At 40.3% G+C, this 21011-nt stretch overlaps 1 long non-coding RNA gene across 4 annotated transcripts in view; it reads left to right on the plus strand.

Annotated features, from left to right (window-relative positions):
• LOC105374914 (uncharacterized) overlaps positions 1–20703 on the plus strand; it is a 91755-nt gene extending 71052 nt beyond the window's left edge. For all 4 annotated transcript variants that reach the window (XR_001743953.1, XR_001743952.1, XR_001743951.1 and 1 more), the window contains 2 exons: positions 15461–15532; positions 19215–20703. This is a non-coding gene — a long non-coding RNA (uncharacterized LOC105374914). The remainder of the gene's footprint in view (positions 1–15460; positions 15533–19214) is intronic.
• Positions 20704–21011: the final 308 nt, after the last annotated feature.

Raw genomic sequence — 21011 nt, forward strand, 5'->3', positions numbered from 1 at the left:
TTAGATAAAAATACTGTCCTAAAAGACATTGTCAACTCATTTATCTTTCTTCATGTTTAGGATTTAGGATCTCAATTTATACTTTTTAAACTCAGTTCCTTAGTCATTCATACTAACCTCTGGTGAAGTTAATATTCTGTATTTTAGTAGCAATTTTAGATCAAAATTATCAACTGCTTTTGAAATAACAGGACATTTTATGTTACATTAATTATTTAATTATTTCTACTTTTTGAGGTATAATTGACAAGAATTGTATAGATTCAAGGTCTACAATGTGATTTGATATACATGTACACGGTATAATAATTACCCAGATCAAATTGGTTGCTATAGTTAATAATACTGTATTGTTTACTTGAAATTTGGTAAGAGTAGATTGTAAGTGTCTTCACCACACGCATATACACACAAAGGGTAACTATGTGTGGTGATAGATGGCTTGATTACTTTGTGGTAATCGTAACACAAAATTTTCATCTTTTAGTGGATGTGTGTCTCTGGGATGAATGTCGCTTTCACATGTGTTTCTATCCTTCCTCCAGGGATGTAGCTTATTTTTTCCCCATTTGTGGCCTATTCCCTTATCTGGCTGCAACAGCCCCAATCCATTTCATTGAAGCCCTATTCCTTTTTTACTATATTTTTATTTCTTCCTGCGGGTGAGACAAGAAAGTTTGAGTGGGCTGGAGTGATGAGGAATTTTCTTCTCCCAGGTGGGATAAGGTTTCAGTATTGCCCTCTGGGGAACTCTTTTTTCTGGAGAGTAGGACTTTGTTGTGGAGTTAGCTCTGGGAGGGTTTCACAATGGCTATTTCTGTCAGAACCATGAGAAAGTCTTTCTTGAATCCTTGAAGTGAGAATTTAGTAGAGTTCCTGGAGTGAAAGACCAAGAAAATATAAAGACCTCCTGTGACTGCAGCTCCAGGAGTTTCTTGCTTTCATGCTAGTCTGTACTCATGCTTTATCTGCTCATCAAATCTACTAGTTATAATGGTTAATTTTATGCATCAACTTGGCTAGGTCATGGTACCCAGTTTATTTGGTCAAGTATCAGTCTAGATGTTACTGTAAAAGTATATTTCAGATGTGATTAACATTTAAATTGAAGACGTTGAGTAAAATGGATGATCCTTTATAACTTAGGTGGGCCTTATTCAATCAGTTGAAGGCCTTCGGAGTAAAGACTGAGATCCTCAGAAAGAAAAAATTCTGTTTCCAGACTGCCTTCCATTTCAAGACTCCAGCACACACACATACACACACACACACACACACAGCGATTTATCTGGAAAACCCTAATGCAATGTTGTCTACCTTTTCTGCAGGATGCATTGACATATTAATAGAGTTATTTTTACGTCCTTATCTGATCATTCTTATGTGTGTGATCTCTGAATCTGGCTTGGTTGACACTTACATCTCTTAGCAGTGGGTCATTCTTTTCTTATTTTTGGGGTACTTCATAATTTTTGATTGAATCTCAGACATTATGGCAGAACAGCAAGGACTGGGATAATGAGTATTTATGCCCAGAAGTAGGCATGCCTCTTCCTCTGCAAGAGAGTTGTTCAGGCTTGAGTCAACATGGCCAGCAGTTGGCTGAGTTTGAGTTTTGCTCTTGTTCTGGTTACTTTCACTGTACCTTGGTCTCAAATAGTTTCTATGGAGCATGGCCACTACCTATGCTACTTACAAGGGCTGGAACGCTGGAGAGTTTTTTCCAAAATTCCTCCCCGACGTTTAGCTTTCATTAGCCTCCGCACACCTGTGCCACAGAAGTGGTTCTCTTGTCCTGAAGCAAATGGTAGTCTGCTGTAAGTTGTTACTCAATGAAAACCCGGTGGTGTACCAAGGATGGTTCTCAGTTTTTCTATTTCAGCCTCAGTCCTGAGGCTCAAGGATGATGCGTTCCTGTCCATCTTTGTATCTCTGTTATCAATAGACTCCGACTTTCTACCCAGGGTTAATGGCTTTTGCCAATTGTCACTGTAGGATTCTTTTTTTTTTTTTTTTTTTGAGATGGAATCTCGCTCTGTCACCCAGGCTGGAGTGCAGTGGCGCATCTCGGCTCACTCAGTGCAAGCTCCGCCTCCCGGGTTCACGCCATTCTCCTGCCTCAACCTCCCGAGTAGCTGGGACTACAGGCTCCCACCACCACGCCCGGCTAATTTTTTGTGTTTTTTTTTGGTAGAGACGGGGTTTCATCGTGTTAACCAGGATGGTGTCCATCTCCTGACCTAGTGATCTGCCTGCCTCGGCCTCACAAAGTGCTGGGATTACAGGCGTGAGCCACTGCGCCCGGCCACTGTAGGATTCTTAGAGTGGAAATGACATTCTTCTCTGCTCTCTATATGTTAGGAAGGAGTGGAACTTCCATAAACAAAAACAAAACAAAGGACTTTCCTCTTTTTTCCAAAAGTGGAATTTTGAAACTTCTCTATTTTGAGAAAGAATGACATGGGATGTGAAGAAAACATAAATAGACAATTAAACCCCCCCTCAAAATTGCCAACCTATTAACTCAACTAATTAGCTAAATATAACAGCTGACTTTGATAACACAGTGGTGAGTCTGGACCTGTAAAACATCATGACATGACTTCACTCTTGCCATTGTGTTTTATAATCATGTCATAAACCTTGCTCAAAATTCCCTTATTCTTCAAAGTACTGAGTTTCTATAGGAACAGTAAATACATATACAGTGTTCTAATTCAACATATCTAGTGACACAAAAACTTGGCATGAGGCTAGACCCAACACAATGTTGTTTTATCAGGTGCGAGGTTCTGGGTTTTTGTTCTTGACAGCTTGTTTGTTTTACTTGGATTTCATAATTTTATAAAAGCCATCTTCCACACCAAGCTCTAATTATCCGTATCCTTTCTTCCTTCCATATACGTGGTTTTACAGTGCTACTAACAGTGTTGTAAAATAAAGAATTATTTAATAAAGGGACTAACTGAATGTCATCTTACAAGTTATAGACATTATTATGCATTTTCAGATCTGCATGAGTCAAGTTTGATTATTAAGTCCAGGTAGAATTCTGATCTTTTTCTCCTGTATTTCTGTCAGTTCTGTTGCTGTTGCTTCTCCCTTTTGGTCACTGAGTTATATTTGACTTTATCAGAGAATACTTTGAGGCAAAGAAAACCACTGCTGTTACTTTCCAAACAGTTCTTGGTACACTGCATTTGGAATACTTTTTGAATTAATATTTTATTTTGATGAAAAATATTGTAATGAATTTCAAACATTAGTATTTTTATACTTATCTATGGATTCTTTTCAATGACTATATTCTCTCATGTTGTCTTATTAGACAATTGAGACCATTGATAGCTGATAGCAACCTTACAGTATAAGAAAGAATAGTTTTATTTAGGATACTCCAAAGCAATAGCATATCTTAATAGTTCTGCAGCATAATTTAATGAAAAAGACATTGAACTTAAAGTCAGGACACGTTGGTTCCTTCCTAGTTCTGCCATTTTCTATGTGCTTCACTTCAAAAGGAGATTCCTTTTTTTCTGGTTCTAGGTTTTCTTTCTCCTAAAATTTTATTAATACTCAGGACACCTACAATAAGTAAATGGATTAATGTGTTTGGACCTAAGGAAATTAAAAATTAATGTCCTGACTGGGCACGGTGGCTCACGCCTGTAATCCCAGCACTGTGGGAGGCTGAGGTGGGTGGATCACAAGGTCAGGAGTTCGAGACCAGCCTGGCCAACATGGTGAAACCCCGGTTCTGCTAAAAATACAAAAATTAGCCGGGCGTGGTGGTGCATGCCTGAAATCCCAGCATCTTGGGAGGCTGAGGCAGGAGAATCGCTTGAACCCAGGAGCCGGAGGTTACAGTGAGCTGAGATCATGCCACTGCACTCCAGCCTGGGCAACAGAGTGAGACTCTGTCTCAAAGAAAAAAAAAAGGAATTAATGTCCTTATTGTGGCTAGAATAGTTAATGTTACGCATTTGAAGACACTGATATGCAAGAGGTAAAAAGATTTAAAGAAGAGCACATGATGGATTCAATGCAACTTCATGAAGAATTCAGAAACCCAGAACTTCAACCTATCTCACTTTAGTGATTAGCTCTTACTCATTTCTAACACATGTTTTCTGTATTTAAAAGTTTCTTTTCAATATTTCGGTAAATAATATCAATTGTTTTTCCACTTGGAATTGGAAAAAGGAGGTCATTGTTATTTTGATTGTGCCATCCGAGCAATAAATAGCTTCATTCTACCGTGTTGACTTATGGATTTAGAAATAAAGGCACTTTTCTAAGAAACTGAGACAAAAAAATTTTGATTTGCCAATCTTCTGGCTTAAAACGTTTTTAATCCAGGCAATAATTTCCATGTGAATAGACACTCTTCCGCTTACAACATTGTCTCATAAAAGCTTTTTATGTATGAACACATTACTCTGATGGGCCACAAAACAATTCCATTCTTTAAAAAAATATGCACAGAAAATCGTATCATTAGGAGAAATAGGAAAACTAATTTTGGCAAAAATAATTTTTTTTATGAGAGTCTGCTCATAAGTCAAAATAGCTTTGAAGACATTTGAGGACCCCCCCACACACATACACATACACCAATGTTTGTACTTATTCTGAACAAGAATACAGTGAAAAGAAATGTAGTAGTAACCATGTATATAAATCCAGAGTCAGACAACTCATGGTCTGTTAAAATATTCTTTCCAAAATTTGAGGGGAAATGTTTCTTTGGGGCCTTGGTGAATTTATGTTCACTTGGGATTAGCACATATGCCTAATTTAAAGTCATTTTCTTTAAAAATTTACTGATATTCACAAGAAACAAAAAGAGCCACTAATTCTGGTCTTCAAGATTCTCTTTCTTCATCTAGAGGTCACTTAAAATTTGATAGATACAAAAGCTCTTTCAGGGAGGTATAGCCTGGCATGAATAAAGACCAATATGAATGTGATTAAAAGAGTATGAGGATTTTTGTGTTTGCATGCATCCTGTAATTCCCTGCAGACATGATATATAGGGTGATATAAGGAATATGTAGTCTAGTGTGAGCAACCATCACTACACTCTGCAAATTCACTCACTGCAGGGAACCAATTGAGACTTCTGTGAGAGCAGGGCTTTCTAACCCAGGTATTTCTCCTTAAGGATTGCTTCCAAACAAAATGCATTCTGTTCAAGAATGTCTTTTAAAACGTGGTTTCAGAGGCAGAGAGGAGGAGATTATCTATGATGCTTCAACTTTATCATGTAATTAAGGAGAATGACCAATTCTTCCTATTCTACTATTGTCTGTTTATGTAAATATAACCTGCCTTGTGTGTTTTCATTATGTTTTTGTTTTGTTTTTGAGATGGAGTCTCTCTCTGTCACCCAGGCTGGAGTGCAGTGGCATGATCTTGGCTCACTGCAACTTCTGCCTCCCAGATTCAAGCTATTCTCGTGCCTCAGCCTCCCGAGTAGTTGGAATTGCAGATGGCCGCCACCATGTCCGGCTAATTTTTGTATATTTAGTAGAGATGGAATTTCATCATGTTGGCCAGGCTGGTCTCAAACTCCTGGAGGCCTCAAGTGATCCACCCTCTTCAGCCTCCCAAAGTGCTGGGATTACAGGAGTGAGCCACTGTGCCTGGCTTCTTCATTATGTTTAGTATTTTATAGACAGGAGGAAATACTCTGCATAAAAAACTGTCTTTTCAAAATAATTCCTTTACCGTGCCACATAGAAGCTCCCAAATAGCCTTTAAGCTCTAAATATTTAGAACCAGGATGAAAAGAAAATTTAGAACCATTATGGATAATTTCTACCTAGCCTTAATTTTTATCATTAAAGCTTCAGAATGCTTAGTTTTATCATGTGCTTCTGGGGTATGTGGTGTCATAAGTTTACAATAGAGGTAAAATTGTGAAACCGACCAATCCTGTTCTCCTGTTAAATGTTGTAAAAGTTCTAAATAATATTACTAAAGATCACTGAAGTGTAGCTTCTGCCCTCTCATCCCTCTACAAATATGAAAATTGTTTTTTGTCAGTGAATATTCCATTTATCTGAATATTTATTCAGCATATTGTTCATAATCAACTAGTATTTAGTATATCATAATTATTAAAAATATAGTCTAGAAATAATCTAAGTTCAAATTTCAACATTTGCTAGCTAGTTACTTAGCTATAGAGCTACAATTTTCTATATTGTGCAATGATTAAAGAAGATTACATATAGGACAAAGCTTCTATATGTTATAGGAAAAGTGATTACACATGTGATTTATACACATACAATGCATGCACAAGTGTGTAACCTAACAACAATGTTAAGTAGGTGATTAGGATTGGGGAAATGCTACTTGTGTGCACTCCAAGGAATCAGCATTTGGGTAATGGTGAATAGACTGAACAATTGATGAAGAAGTGAAGTAAATCATTTTGTTGCACCTTTGAATATTTTTTCCAGTTTTGGATCTTTGAAGATAGATTATCAAAATATTACCATAATTCTTTTTTTTGTTGTTTTTTTTTTTTGTTTTTTTTGCTCAGCTATACTCTAGTTTGAATGTGCCTTCCAAAAGTTAGGTTGAAATTTAATTGCCATTGTAACAGTTGTTAGAGAGGACTTTAAGAGATTAGGCCATGAGGGCTCATGCCTTAATAAAAGGGCTCATGTTCTTAGCCCTTCTGCCTTTCTGCTATGTGTGGATCCAGCATTTCCCTTCCATCTGGAGGATGCATATACAAGGCAGAATCTTAAAAGCAGAGAAAATGGGTCCTAACATGGTCTGAGAGTTCCCAGCCTCCAGAACCATGACTCAATACATTTCGTTCCTTATAAATTACCTGGTCTGAGGTATTCTGTTATAGCAGCACATAATAGACCAAGACTAGCTGATTATTTCTTTGCAAAACATTAATTTAATGAATAAGTGGTTGTTGATAAAAAATTTCATTTGAACTATGTTGGCTAAATACTTTTTAAACTATTGTAAAAACGATAATGGAAAGAAATGAACTATAGATGAATGGGTTCATTTGTCTGTGCAGAGTTGAAAAAAATTAAATGACATGAGAATGCATTTTCTTTTCAGAAACTATGATTTATTCTCACTCTTAGTATGATGTAAATAAAACCAGACTGTTTAATGAGCCGACCGTACACTTCTTTTTAAAGTTGTCATGATCATGGGTAGAGAAAATTTGGTTGAAAATATAATACTAAACAATATTGCAGTGATAGATATGGTAAATATAATAAATATATTACATTTTATTGTCGCATATTAGTTTCTAAAGATATTACTAGTTTTCTGTTTACTAATTAAAGATTCATTCTAATATAAATTTTTATTGCTGCAAAAGTTTTAAGGGACAGGCTGGGTGTAGTGCCTCACACCTGTAATCCCAGTACGAGGTGGGAGGATCACTTGACCTCAGGAGTTTGAGATCAGGTTGGGCAATATATTAAGGCCCCGTCTCTTAAAAAAAATTAAAAATTAGCCAGGCATGACGGTGAATGCCTGTAGTCCTATTTATTTAGGAGGCTGAATCCGGAGGATCACTTGAGGCCAGGAGGTCAAGGCTGCAGTGAGATATTGTTGCTCCACTGCTCTACAACCCAGGTGACATAGTGAGACCCTGTCTCAAAAAAAATAATAATAAAATAAAAAAAATAAGAAACAGGACATTTGAAAAGCTCCCACAGCTCTCTCAAGCTTATTCTGGAGTTTATTCATTCACTCGACAAACACAGTGGAATGGCTATTATATGAAAGGCGCTGGGCAAGCCCTGAGACAAGGAACTAGAAATGAACCCAGCTTTTATGGATCTTAAGAAGATTGCTGTAAAACGGAATCATGAAGCAAGCAAAGCAACATCTAAAATATGATTTAACTGCTAATTGATTCTGAAGAATGACACCATGAAGTTAAATTTTAAATCACTGTTTTATTAGCAATTTTACACGTTAATAGAAGCAACAATTAGTTATAAAACTAGTAAGTCTTTTGGGCCCATCCCTCCCCTCCACCCTGAGAGCAGCTTTATTAGTCCACAGCATTATTTCAGCCTGGTCATTTATATACAAGCAACAAGGCAAATGCCCATCACTCAGGTAAGACTTCTCTATCTAAAGTCTAGAATAGTCTTCATTTCCAATGAATTTAGATGTCTTTTCAGAAATGATAGCATCTAACAGATCATAAGTGGTTCTGAGCTGTGTCGACTCCTTCCTGGTTTGCATTCTCTCCAGGGATCTAGAGCCAGTGTCTGCCTGTTCCAAGCCCCAAATCATTAGCAGTGAATCTCCTTCTCCCAGAAGGAACATTTCCCAGTCACCAGACATGCAGTTGGCCATCTTTCCTAAAACAAGTCAGAATTAACATGCAAAGAGCTATTACCTCCAACATCTTCACCAAATGCTTCCTCCAGCTCCTTGTGTGAACCCACAGGTCTCCCCGTCAAGGCTGGAGAAAATGGTTCCCATGAGTGCTAGGTGCAGATCCACTCATCCCCCTGGGTGGCAGTGTGGGAATGTTCTAGCTGCTAGAAACCTCCATTTAGGCCAGTGAGCTAGATACACATCGAAGGCGGGATGCGGTGGCTCACACCTGTAATCCCAGAACTCTGGGAGGCCGACGTGGGCAGCTTACCTGAGGTCAGGAGTTGGAGACCAGCCTGATCAACATGGAGAAACCCTGTCTCTACTAAAAATACAAAATTAGCGATGCATGGTGGCGCATACCTGTAATCCCAGCTACTCGGGAGGTTGAGGCAGGAGAATTGCTTGAACCCGGGAGGCAGAGGTTGCGGAGAGCCAAGATAGGGCCATTGCACTTCAGCCTGGGCAACAAGAGCGAAACTCCGTCTCAAAACAACAACAACAACAAAAAATAGCAAAAAAAAAAAAAAAAAAAGAACTTCCTGAGTCAGAGAAACAGCCTTTCCCATCATGATTCCACTTCCCCTGAAGCCCTCCCTGGAGAATGCTCCCATTCTTCCCTAACCGCCCTGCTTTAGTGCAAGCTGCCTGAGGGGTGCTTTCTTCAATTCCCAATGCCACGGCCTACCTTCTGCATCTGATTATTCAAACTGCCACTCATTCCTGTCATCTGAACGTGCTACGCCACTCCTTCCCATTGTGCTCCCAACAAGGATATCCCTGGCTATTGCCCTGCCTAAAGTCTTAATTGTCTTCCCATGTCAATTCTGTGTCCACATAGATGACCCACTGACAGCCTAACTCCTTGGTTTCTAGTGGTCTCATGACCAATTTTAGGAGCCACACACTGCCACAGTGTCCTTACACTTGTTAACCACAGTGGTTCCACTGCTAAACTCACATCTCAGACATTCCACTCTCTAGCTACACCTGCCTATACTTCAAGCTCTTTTTTTTTTTTTTTTTTTTTACTAATTTCTTGACTTAATCTCTTAATCCTCCTAATCCTAATTCTCTCCCAATCCAGGCTCCTTGGTTTTTTTTTTTTTTTTTTTTTTTTTTTTTTGGAGACAGAGTCTCACTCTGTTGGCTAGGCTGGAGTGCAGTGATGCAATTTCCTTTTACTGCACCCTCTGCCTCCCAGGTTCAAGCGATTCTCCTGCTTTAGCCTCCTGAGAAGCTGGTGAAAGGTGACAACCTGCTGGCAGCCCTCGCTCGCTCTTGGCGCCTCCTCGGCCTCGGTGCCCACTCTGGCCGCGCTTGAGGAGCCCTTCAGCCCGCCGCTGCACTGTGGGAGCCCTTTCCTGGGATGGCCGAGGCAGGAGCCGGCTCCCTCAGACTGCGGGGAGGTGTGGAGAGGCACGGGCGGGAACCAGGGTTGTGCGGCGCTTGGAGGCCAGTTAAGAGTTCCGGGTGGGCGTGGGCTTGGCGGGCCCCGCACTCGGAGCGGCAGGCCGGCCTCGACGGCCCCGGGCAGTGAGGGGCTTAGCACCCAAGCCAGCAGCTGCGGAGGGTGCGCCAGGTCCCCCAGCAGTGCCGGCCGACGGTGAGTCTCCCCACCACCCCCCACCGCCGTGGGCTCCTGCGCGACGCGAGTTTCCCCGACGAGCGCAGCCCCCTGATTCAGGGCAGCCAATTCCATCGATCTCCCAAGGACTGAAAAGTGCCGGCGCATGGCGCGGGAAGGGCAAGCAGCTCCACCTGCAGCACCAGTGCGAAATCCACTGGGTGAAGCCAGCTGGGCTCGAGAGTCTGGTGGGGACTTGGGGAATGTTTATGTCTAGCTAAGGGATTGTGAATGCACCAATCGGCACTCTATCTAGCTCAAGGTTTGTAAATGCACCAATCACCGCTCTGTGTCTAGCTAATCTGGTGGGGACTTGGAGAATCTTTAAGTCTAGCTAAGGGATTGTGAATGCACCAATCGGCACTCTGTATCTAGCTCAAGGTTTGTAAACACACCAATCAGCACCCTGTGTCTGGCTCAGAGTTTGTGAATGCACCAATCGACACTCTGTATCTAGCTAATGTAGTGGGGATGTGGAGAACTTTTGTGTCTAGCTCAGGGATTGTAAACGCACCAATCAGCACCCTGTCAAAACGGACCAATGAGCTCTCTGTAAAACAGACCAATCAGCTCTCTGTAAAATGGACCAATCAGCAGGATGTGGGTGGGGCCAGATAAAGGAATAAAAGCAGGCTGCCCAGGCCCGCAGTGGTAATCAGCTGGGGTTTCCTTAGGGAGGTTGGAAGGTTTGTTCTTTCTCTCTTTGCAGTAAATCTTGCAGGTGTGTGTTTTTTGGGTTCATGCTGCTTGTATGAGCTGTGATGATTACCATGAAAATTTGCAGCTTCACTTTTAAAACCAGTGAGAGCACAAACCCACCGGGAGGAACAAGCAATTCCAGACGTACTGCTTTAGGAGGTGTAACACTCACCGGCGAGGTTTGTAGCTTCACTCCTGAGCCAGTGAGACCACGAATCCACCAGCAGGAAAAAAAGATTCCAAACATGTCTGAATGTCAGAAGAAACAATTTCCAAACACACTGCCTTTAAGAACTGTAACACTCCCTGTGAGGGTCTATGGCTTCATTCTTTAAGTCAGTGAGACTAAGACGCCACCAATTCGGGGCACATTGGGACTATAGTTACTGCCACCATGCACATCTAAACAACGTTCTGGAATATCTTCTTGCTTTGGTCAACCACCAGGCATGGGAAAATGGCTTCATCGGTTGTCTTTCCACAAACAAGGTAAGACACTGAAGAATACCTCACGCCAAAAGTCAAACTAGAAAGTATGTGCGTTATAAAGTTAATGAGACTCACCTATCTACTTAAATCCATACAAAAGGGTATTTTCTTACCTCTTCTTACGGGAGTGAATGACACTGCCTCCTGTCTCAAGCTAATATGTTTCTCTGAGACCTGAATCCCTTTTCCTTTGGCTTTTGTTTCTCATTGTGTTATCTATTGTTACAAATCACCACAAAATTTAGCAGGTTAAAACACTGAGTGCATATTACCTCAGTTTTTGAGGGGGGGGAATCCAGAAGTGGCTTGGCTGGGTTGTTCTGCCTAAGCCTCTCATGAGGTTGAACTAAAGTAATGGTCAGGGCTGTGGTCAAGCAAGGTTCAGTGGTGGAGGATCTACTTCCAAGTTCGTTCACGTGGTTTTTGGTTGACTTTAGCTCCTTTCTGGCTGTTGGACAGAGACCTCAGTTCCATGTGGACCTCTGAGCAGGCTGCTTTGAGCTTCCTCAGGCATGACCACTGGCATCCCCCAGGGAGAGTTCAAGAAGAACAGCGAAGGCAGAAGCACGGTGGTTTTTAAAATCTAGGAAATGACTTTGGTCACATTCTATTTGTTACAAATATCAATCCCAGCAAAATGGAGGCAGCTACATAGCTGTGTGTCTACCAGGAGGTGGAAGTCATCTTAGAGACTTGCTACTAAGACTTGGTGCTAAGTGGAGGGTCTTCGAATTTTGACGACCTTCTCCCTCCTGTTTATTAACCTCTTTCCTCTGTTGACTCCTAGTATTTAAGCATGTTCAACTTTTTCCGCTGGACAAACCCTGCGTGTCTTTTCATTGTAATTTGTCTTTGGTCCACACTGCTCTGAGGAGATTGTGATGGCCAGGGTTGCTGGGGCTTCCTTGTGGTTGGGTCTCATGGACAATTCTCATTCTCTGGGTCTTACTTGATGATTGAGAAGTAGTTCCTACAGCAAACCACTTTCTCCTTTTAGAAAACCTTTTTCTTTGTATTTTTTTTTCTTTCAATATTTTTCTTTCAATACCTTTTGGGGTACAAGTGGTTTTTGGTTACATGGATTAATTATATAGTGGTGAAGTCTTGAGATTTTAGGACACCTGTCACCCAAGTAGTGTACGTTTTACCCAATATGTAGTTTAATTCCTCATTCTCCTTCCACTCTCCCCTTTCTGAGTCTCCAAAGTTCATTACACCACTCTGTATGCTTTTGTGTACCCATAACTTTTTTTTTTTAAGATGGAGTTTCACTTTTGTTGCCCAGACCGGAGTGTAACGGTGCGATCTTGGCTCACTGCAACCTCTGCCTCCTGGGTTCAAGTGATTCTCCTGACTCAGCCTCGCAAGCAGCTGGGATTAGGCATGCACCACCATGCCCAGCTAATTTTGTATTTTTAGTAGATATGGGGTTTCTCCATGTTGGTCGGGCTGGGTCTCAAACTCTCAACCTCGGGTGATCCGCCTGCCTTGGCCTCCCAGAGTTCTGGGATTACAGGCGTGAGCCACGCGCCCTGCCCCCATAGCTTTGAAAGCCTTCTTTTCTTATCTTCCATCCCTCTGCATCATCCAGGTTTTCTACTACCCCTTATACACTCTCTTGTTAGTGTTCCTTAAAGTCACATTTTCGCCCTCTCCTCCCTTGGGAGACCCCATTTACTTTCATGGCTTTCTTTCATGACCTCTACATACTGAGAATGGTACAGGAACATCAAATCCATGATTATAAATAATTATAAACCCTAGGCCAGGTTTTCTGCGGGCAAAACTGTTGAAACCAGTCAAGTTTTGAACTCTAACTACAAAAACATTATTTGATAGCTACTCCAGCTCACTGAAAGGCAATTTTATGTCTTCAAATGAAATAAGGATACAATTTGATCTAGATAAGATAATAGTGACTTCTATTTCTAAGTTTCTACTTTCATGGCTTGTTTGGCTGAAGCAGGCATTGAAATGCCTACGTTTTTTTTTGAGACAGGATCCTGCTCTGCCACCCAGGCTGGAATGCAGTGATGTGATCTTGGCTCACAGCAACCTCTGCTCATGGCTTATTTGAACTTTACATTTATTATTTATAGATTTGGCTACTGCTGTTTGAGGACAGAGACAACCAAGAGGAACATAGACACATCTGGAGTACAAAACACAAAACAAAACATCAGCATCTTCTGTAGGTTCATGGGAGATGAATATATTCCACCAGGATTGTGTAAGCATAACATGGCAGAAATCTGTGTTGGCCATCGAGTTAGATGAGAGCTCACCGGATGGGTGTAGAATTCTAGAGCTACTGTAGGCAATTAAATTATCTGATAATCAGTGGACCCAACATTGGCACAATAAGCCATAATAGGAAGGATTTCTACCCAGGCATAGGAAATGGCAGCACTTAACAGCTGTTGTGAATTCATAGATAATGCTATTACTCTGCAGCTGTGAGGCAGCAGCCCTGTAAGAAATCACCAAAACTCAGCTGTTAAGGACCTCTATGATTAGGCAGTGGGATTTTTTTTTTTGTTTTCTGGCAATTTGCCATTTTGTTTTCCTGTAGAAAGTATATATTAAATAAGAAAACTGGTGTATGCCAGTTTGGCGTTCTAGCAGCTAGTTTACTGTCTCATGACTTTAGGGTGTCATTTGTTGCAAGGGAACAACTTAGTGCTGTATGACCGTATAAATTATTTCTTTAGATATGAAATGATTCCTTTTTGACCTAGAAGAATTTATGCATTTCCTAGTGTGCCTTGCTTGTATGCAGAGGACATCTTACATAATGACAGAATATAGGCCAATGTAATTTAATGTGTACAGAAAATTCAGTTCATGATTGATGCCTGCTTTAGTATGTATCAATGTTACTAATATTTAAACATTTAGACAATGTTTGGACAAAGTGTTGGCCAGAGATTGAACAATGGAAATGAAACCAAAAACCTCATATGATACTTAAATCATATTTTGTGCCCATATCAGCTAGTATATTGAACCAGAGCATCTGATTCGATTAATCATTGGGTCAAAATTTGCAGTTTTGAAACTGATTTAAAATCATAGTATAACATGTTGATTAAAGTAACGATATAGCAGAAACTCCATCAGTATTTCACTCCATCAGATGGACCAGAATTTGGTTAATTACAAAAGTCACTTAAGGTAGTAAACCTTGAAAAATAAGTAAATACACGCAATCTTTTTGGTTTGAGCTAAAGCATATACATGCACCTTTTTGGGTAATTTTTGATAAGATCTTTCTCTGAGTATCAATTGGCTAATTGGAGTTTCTTATATTTTCCTGTGGCCCTTTGAACAAAAACTACACTGATGTTACCTCGTTTGTAATGTCTAGTTTTTGTTTTAATTGGAGCAAGAAAGAGCATGAAGACATATGCAGGAATTTGAGTGCAAAATGTTTCTTGGGTTGTATGAGTTTCTCCTAGATTATTAACATAAAGAATGCTTTGCCTAAACCCACTGGGACATAGTTTAGCAGTTTTCAGTTGCTCCAGACTTATTTTGACACTCATGTTTCATTGTTTTAGGTAACATGTAATTAAATTACATAATTATAATACCAAGTAAAACTGACAAGAGGTTTAGCAGGAAACATGACTGACACTTGATGAGTGAAAACCACACTGGGGATGGGGAGGAGAAGAGTACAGTTACAAGAGAGAGTGGTCAGACTGAAAATACCCATCAGTATGAGTGACAGAGAGCCTGGATGGCTACACCACTGGATGGCTGTTAAGAGCCTCTGTAGATTTGACCTGTTATTAATAGTTGGAAACAAAACTTCAATTTCTAATTCCATCTGGTCTTGTTGCTCAGAAAAATTGTTAAATTCCTATCAGTAGAAGATAAGTCAAGAAATGCTTTGATCCTGATCTGCCACAATGTCACTTGGCTTTGTTCTTCACAGCCACAAGATAGCTGTTGTACCTCCAAATATTGCATTTCTATTCCAGGCAGGAAGGAAAAATGACAAAGAGAAAGGTGCAGCATTTATATTAGGAAAATAACCTTTTCTGAGAAATCACTTGCAGTGTTCTGATTACTGCTCCTGTACAAAAATCGTGTCATATAGATCTTTCTAGTTGCAACAAAGGCTATAAGTTAGTTATCTAACTTTGAGCACATTGATACTGAGAAAAAAAAAAAGCAGGATTCTATTGGTAAGAATGAACTGGAGCTTAGGTCTGGTACAGGACACTAATGGGGTCTTTGTGCTTCTTACAGATTCTAACTCAAATAGCTCAAAGGACACCTTCTCCGGGAAACCTTCCCTGACTTCCGACGCTGTTTCCTGTTGTAAGTTCTCATAGCCCCATATACATTTTCTTCAAGTTATTTTGCTACTATATTTGTGTTAATTTGATTACTATTTTCTACATAAGTATGATGGCAGGGGCCTTTTTGTATTTTTGCTCACAAATCTATACCTAGCACCCAACATATTGCCTAATACATAATAAATACTTAGTGTGTTTATCAAGCAACCCACCAAGTGGTTAACCATTACTTTAAAAAAGTCTCTCAGGAAGAAAATCATTTAGTGCTGCCTTGTAACCTATTCCAGTAGACACCCTCAAAAACTAGGTCTGTTTTTTCTCTACAAATGCTTTGTTTTTCTTGCTCATTGAAATCCACTTTTACTCTTTATTATTATTAAATGAAAGAATAATTAGTCAATGTCCTCATCAGAGCAATTTTCTTTTCCTGGTCTTTAGAATAAGTTTCTGCATTCATTATTTATATTTTATTTTCCAGGCAAAATGTCCATAGGTTCTGTCTTTTAAAATCCTATTTTCACTGTTTCTGCTTCATTCAGGCACAGATATGAAACACTGATACATGAAAGAATGCCAGGGGTCATCTAGTTCAACCTTCTTTCTTTGGAGGTGGGGAAACTGAGGCCTAGAGAGTTTAATTGAATTTCTCAAATGACCTTTAAGGAGATACTGGCTGGGTGTGGTGGCTCACACCCGAAATCCCAGCTCTTTGGGAGGCTGAGGCAGTCAGATTCCTAGAGCTCAAAAGTTTGAGACCAGTCTGGGCAACAGGGCAAAACCACATCTCTACTAAAAACACAAAAATTAGCCAGATGTGGTGGCATGTGCCTGTAGTCCCAGCTACTTGGGAGGCTGAGGTGGGAGGATCACTTGAGCCCAGGAGGCAGAGGCTGCAGTGAGCTGAGATCACACCACTGCATTCCAGTCTGGGCGACAGAGCCAGATCCTGTCAAAAATAAAAAAATAAAAAAATAAAATACTGACAGAAGCAAAATACAGCCATAGTTTTCCAATTAATTCCCTGACTTGCGCTCCATTCTTTTAGATTACATGTTTTAGAGACCCAGGCAAGATACAATAATGAAAAGAGGCCTAATCACCATATATATTCCAAATAGTGGTCCATTGCCATGGATGGTTTCATCTGTATTGGAACTGGCAAAAGCTGAATTGGTTCTCATGTTTGTAAGTGGGACATAAGTATCTGTAGTTTATTAATTAGGGTCATTTTTACATTTAAGTTTTTTTAAAAGCAAGCTTTCTGTTTCATTTATTATCTCTAAATTTTACTATATCCTTGCCTGCTTGTCAGTCAGAGTTTGTTTTTGAATTTCATAAATATGGGCGTAAAATATTGCAGTAGTTTGTTAGGACTGCCATAACAAGACACCATTCACTGATTGGCTTAAACAACTGAAAAGTATTTTCTCACACCTCTGGAAGCTGGAAGTCCCAGGAGAAGGTGTCCACAGGGTTGGTTCCTTCTCAGGCCTCTCTCCTGGGCTTGCAGATGGTTGCCTTCTCCCAGTGTCCTCACATGGTTTTACCTCAGTGGATGTGTGTTCTGGTGTCTTTCCATGTATTCTAATGTCTCTCCTCTTATAAGCACATCAGTTACATTGAAATAGTACCCACTAGCTGGGCACGGTGGCTCACGCCTGTAATCCCAGCACTTTGGGAGGCTGAGGCGAGTGGATCATGAGGTCAGGAGATCAAGACCATCCTGGCCAACATGGTGAAACCCCGTCTCTACTAAAAACACAAAAAATTAGCCGGGTGTGGCAGTGCACACCTATAGTCCCAGCTACTCCGGAGGCTGAGCCAGGAGAATTGCTTAAACCCGGGAGGCCAAGGGTGCAGTGAGCCAAGATCATGCCACTGCACTCCAGCTTGGGCGACAGAGTGAGACTCCGTCTCAAAAAATAAATAAATAAAAAATAAATAAATAGCACCCACTCTAATGGGCTCATTTTAACTTGAACATCTCTTTAAAGGTCCTAATGCCAAATTAAGTCATATTCTGAGGTCCTGGGTGTGCGAGGGGATTGGTTAGGGCTTCAGCATATGCATTGTGGGCAGGAGGGTGACATGGGACGATTGAACCCATAACAAATAGCCATCATGCAATTCCTACAATTGCAGGTCTGCAAGAAGGCCCAAGTTCTGAAGATAACATGTTTTTATTCTTGAATAAAGAATGTTATTATGACCTTGATCTTCAATATTCTTATAGCAACCTCAGTTTATAAATCCAATTTCAGGCTAATATTAATGAAAAACTGAAAAATCCATCGTAAATTGAGATTCAACTATTGATTCACTATGGCTTCCCAGCTGTTACAAAAGATACACACTACCCAATTGATGTGCAATTTAGCGATCCGTAAACATCAAGATATGCATTGAAGGATACTTAAACCCAAATACCATTACTTCTAGCTTTGGAGCCTTAAGAAAGTTGCCTAATCTCTCTACACTTCCTCCTCTGTAAAATAGAGATAATCCCTACCTCAAGAATTGCTAGGTACTTAAGCTAAATGATGGTTGCATGAGGCCAAACAATAAATGGGCATTATTATTATTATTTTTTGAGATGGAGTCTCGCTCTGTCACCAGGCTGGAGTGCAGTGGCACAATGTCGACTCACTGGAACCTCAGCCTCCCAGGTTCAAGCCATTCTCCTGCCTCAGCCTCCCGAGTAGCTGGGTCTACAGATGTGTGCCACCATGCCCAGCTGATTTTTGTATTTTTAGTAGAGATGGGATTTCGCCATGTAGGCCAGGCTGGTCTCAATCTCTTGACTTCGTGATCCGCCTGCCTCGACCCTCCAAAGTGCTGGGATTACAGGTGTGAGCCACCATGCCCGACCTCATTATTTTTAATATTTCTCACATCCAATTTTGTCAATGTATTAGTGGATTATACTTATTTAACAAAGTTCATGTTCCAAGAAGTTTTGAAATTTGAAGACTTTGGTTGTATCACCCTAATGTTAATTTCATATACAATGTGTTATAGCCAATGATGTTCCAGAAGGTAATTAGCCAGACAGGTACAAGAGATAAATTTTACACTCAATTAAAGGAACAAAGTTAAATTTTAATTGTTTCGTATGAGACTGGACAGTGGTGTAGAAGTTCTTTGTCATTCCTGATCCCATCTAGAAAGGTTTGTCTGTTGAGCATGGCATTATCCCAGCTCCCTTGGAAATGGCTAAGGGACTGAAAAATTGTCAATGTGTTGCTTAATTACCTGCACCTGTCTACATAAGAACATGTTCTGTGGTAATTATGGATCTGGTGCAAACCATCATGCATGGGGTTTTATTGTGCTTCAATTTCCCTTCATATCTCAATTCAGTCCCAGGGCTACCTTTTGGCATATGAGCACCCTCATTCAACACAAAATAAATTGGTTCTACTCAAGAAGATTAGAAATGGTGGGAAATATAATTCCCTTTTATTCTTGGCAACAGTGTGCATTATTTTTAACCAGCAGAAAATACACAAGAGAAAGAGGAAATGGATTTTTCCTTCAATGAAGTTGAAGCTTCATCAACTAACTGACCTGACACTGACCTTGAAAACCTCATTGACACTACCCTCTGATTCTGCCCCTCTGGGACTTGAGAGAAAAGGTTGGAGGGGCATCCAGAGGAAGGCTTGCAGTGCCTGTCTTGACGATAAACTCTATGCTTCCAGTTGCAGGAAAGAATACACAAGCTCAGAATCTCTTGGGCTGAGTGACAAAGGAGGAAAAGGGATGGTTCCAAGTAGGATTGGAGCTTCTGCTTCCTCACTTCCTCACGTAGCTCCATCTGCCTCTTCAGAGAGCTCCCATCTCCCACTGTGTGCAGCTGAGTTCCAAGCACTCCTGGCGGCATAATGACTGGGACAAAGATATTTCCTGCAGTTGTCAATGGTGCTCCTATACTGAAACTCTCCTAGGAACTTGGCCAAATCTTCCTGCTCCCCATCCCTGATTTCTGTGAACAAGAGGGAAGACTTTGTCACACTTCTCATTGGTGATCATATTAATTTCTAGGCCATGTGTATCTAGATATGAAATAATATTTCTGTTATTTTAAAATATAAGATCCTTGGAAGATGTCATCTATTGGAACATGTAACTATATAGCCAGAAGAGGAGATCACTAGAGCCAGACTGCTCTGTCTACATACTTAAAAAGACATTTGGAGGAAGAGAGCATCTGCAAATGTTGATGAAAATGGGTTTGGAACTTCTCTTTTGATCAGGAAATAGGTAGACCATAAAATGTCTGATGCATGTTGCTGCCTGAAGCAAACCCACAATCTGGAACCCAGTCATCTTGTTGCTCTAGAAAGCATCAAGAGAAAATGGAAGAAGGCTTAAAAGGCCCATCACATTTTAATCTCTATGGTTGGATTAATCAAAAGTTTTCATAGTTTTACTAAAGAAAAATGAGTGGTCATTTATACTTCATCTCTAACAAGAAACTTTTTTGTCCAGTGCTCAAAAATACATATGCTATTATGCTATAGTTTCCTTATGACTTGTTTTGTTTTCTATAGTTGATTGTGAGCCTCCAAAGGGCATGGAGCTATATGGTATGATTCTTTGCTCCTCAGGCATTTTCTTGCTCAGGAGACATACCTAACATGTTTTTACTTAATGATAAAGGTGGTATGAATGCATCATCAATAACAGAAGCTTAGAGCTAGAAGTAAATGTTTAATCATTTACTTTTGCTTGTTTTTCTTTTCCTTTTTTTTTTGCATTGTCTACTTTAAGACCCACATATTACAAATAAGAAGCATTAAAAGTCGTTAGTGTCAAGATCGGGGACATGAATTAGGTCTCTTGATTCTAAAGATGATTACAGTAATAACAGAAAAGGCTTTCTCATCAAGCAGTGTAACTCAGTGGAACAAGCTTCAGATTGAGCAGTGGCAATGTGGTTTCGTGGACAGGCACTGGCTGGGAGCTTGGATCTCATTATTGTGGGTTCATCTCAGTCATGTGTTGACCTGAGGTGCAGGTGGCTCTATTGGGAGTCAGCCAGCTGTGGATGGTAACCACACATGACCAAAATGAGTCTTCAGAAGCTATCACTTGAACACAGCAACGACACTGGGCACTACTAAGAAGGAGGGAGGAAGTGGACCAAGGGCTGAAAAACTAACTATTGGGTCCTATGCTTAGTTCCTGGGTGACAGAATCAATTGTACCCTAAACCTCAGCATCACACAATATACCCAGGTAACAACCTGCACATGTACCCACTAAATCTAAAATAGGAGTTAAAATTGTATTTTAAAAAAGAAGTTACCACTATCATTGAGCTCTTTTCCTGAGGAAATCTAGGGCTTCTGTCAAAACTTCGCTAATTTAAATGAGTATTTCCTTCTTTTGTATTTATAGGGAAGTCAACAAAAGTACAGCTGCCCCTGTCTTATTATATATTGCATATATACTAATTCTGAGCTCTCAGGGTTGGGAAAGAGAGTATAGGAAGA

The sequence above is a fragment of the Homo sapiens genome, chromosome 6, assembly GCF_000001405.40.
Source record: "Homo sapiens chromosome 6, GRCh38.p14 Primary Assembly".
Taxonomy (NCBI): domain Eukaryota; kingdom Metazoa; phylum Chordata; class Mammalia; order Primates; family Hominidae; genus Homo; species Homo sapiens.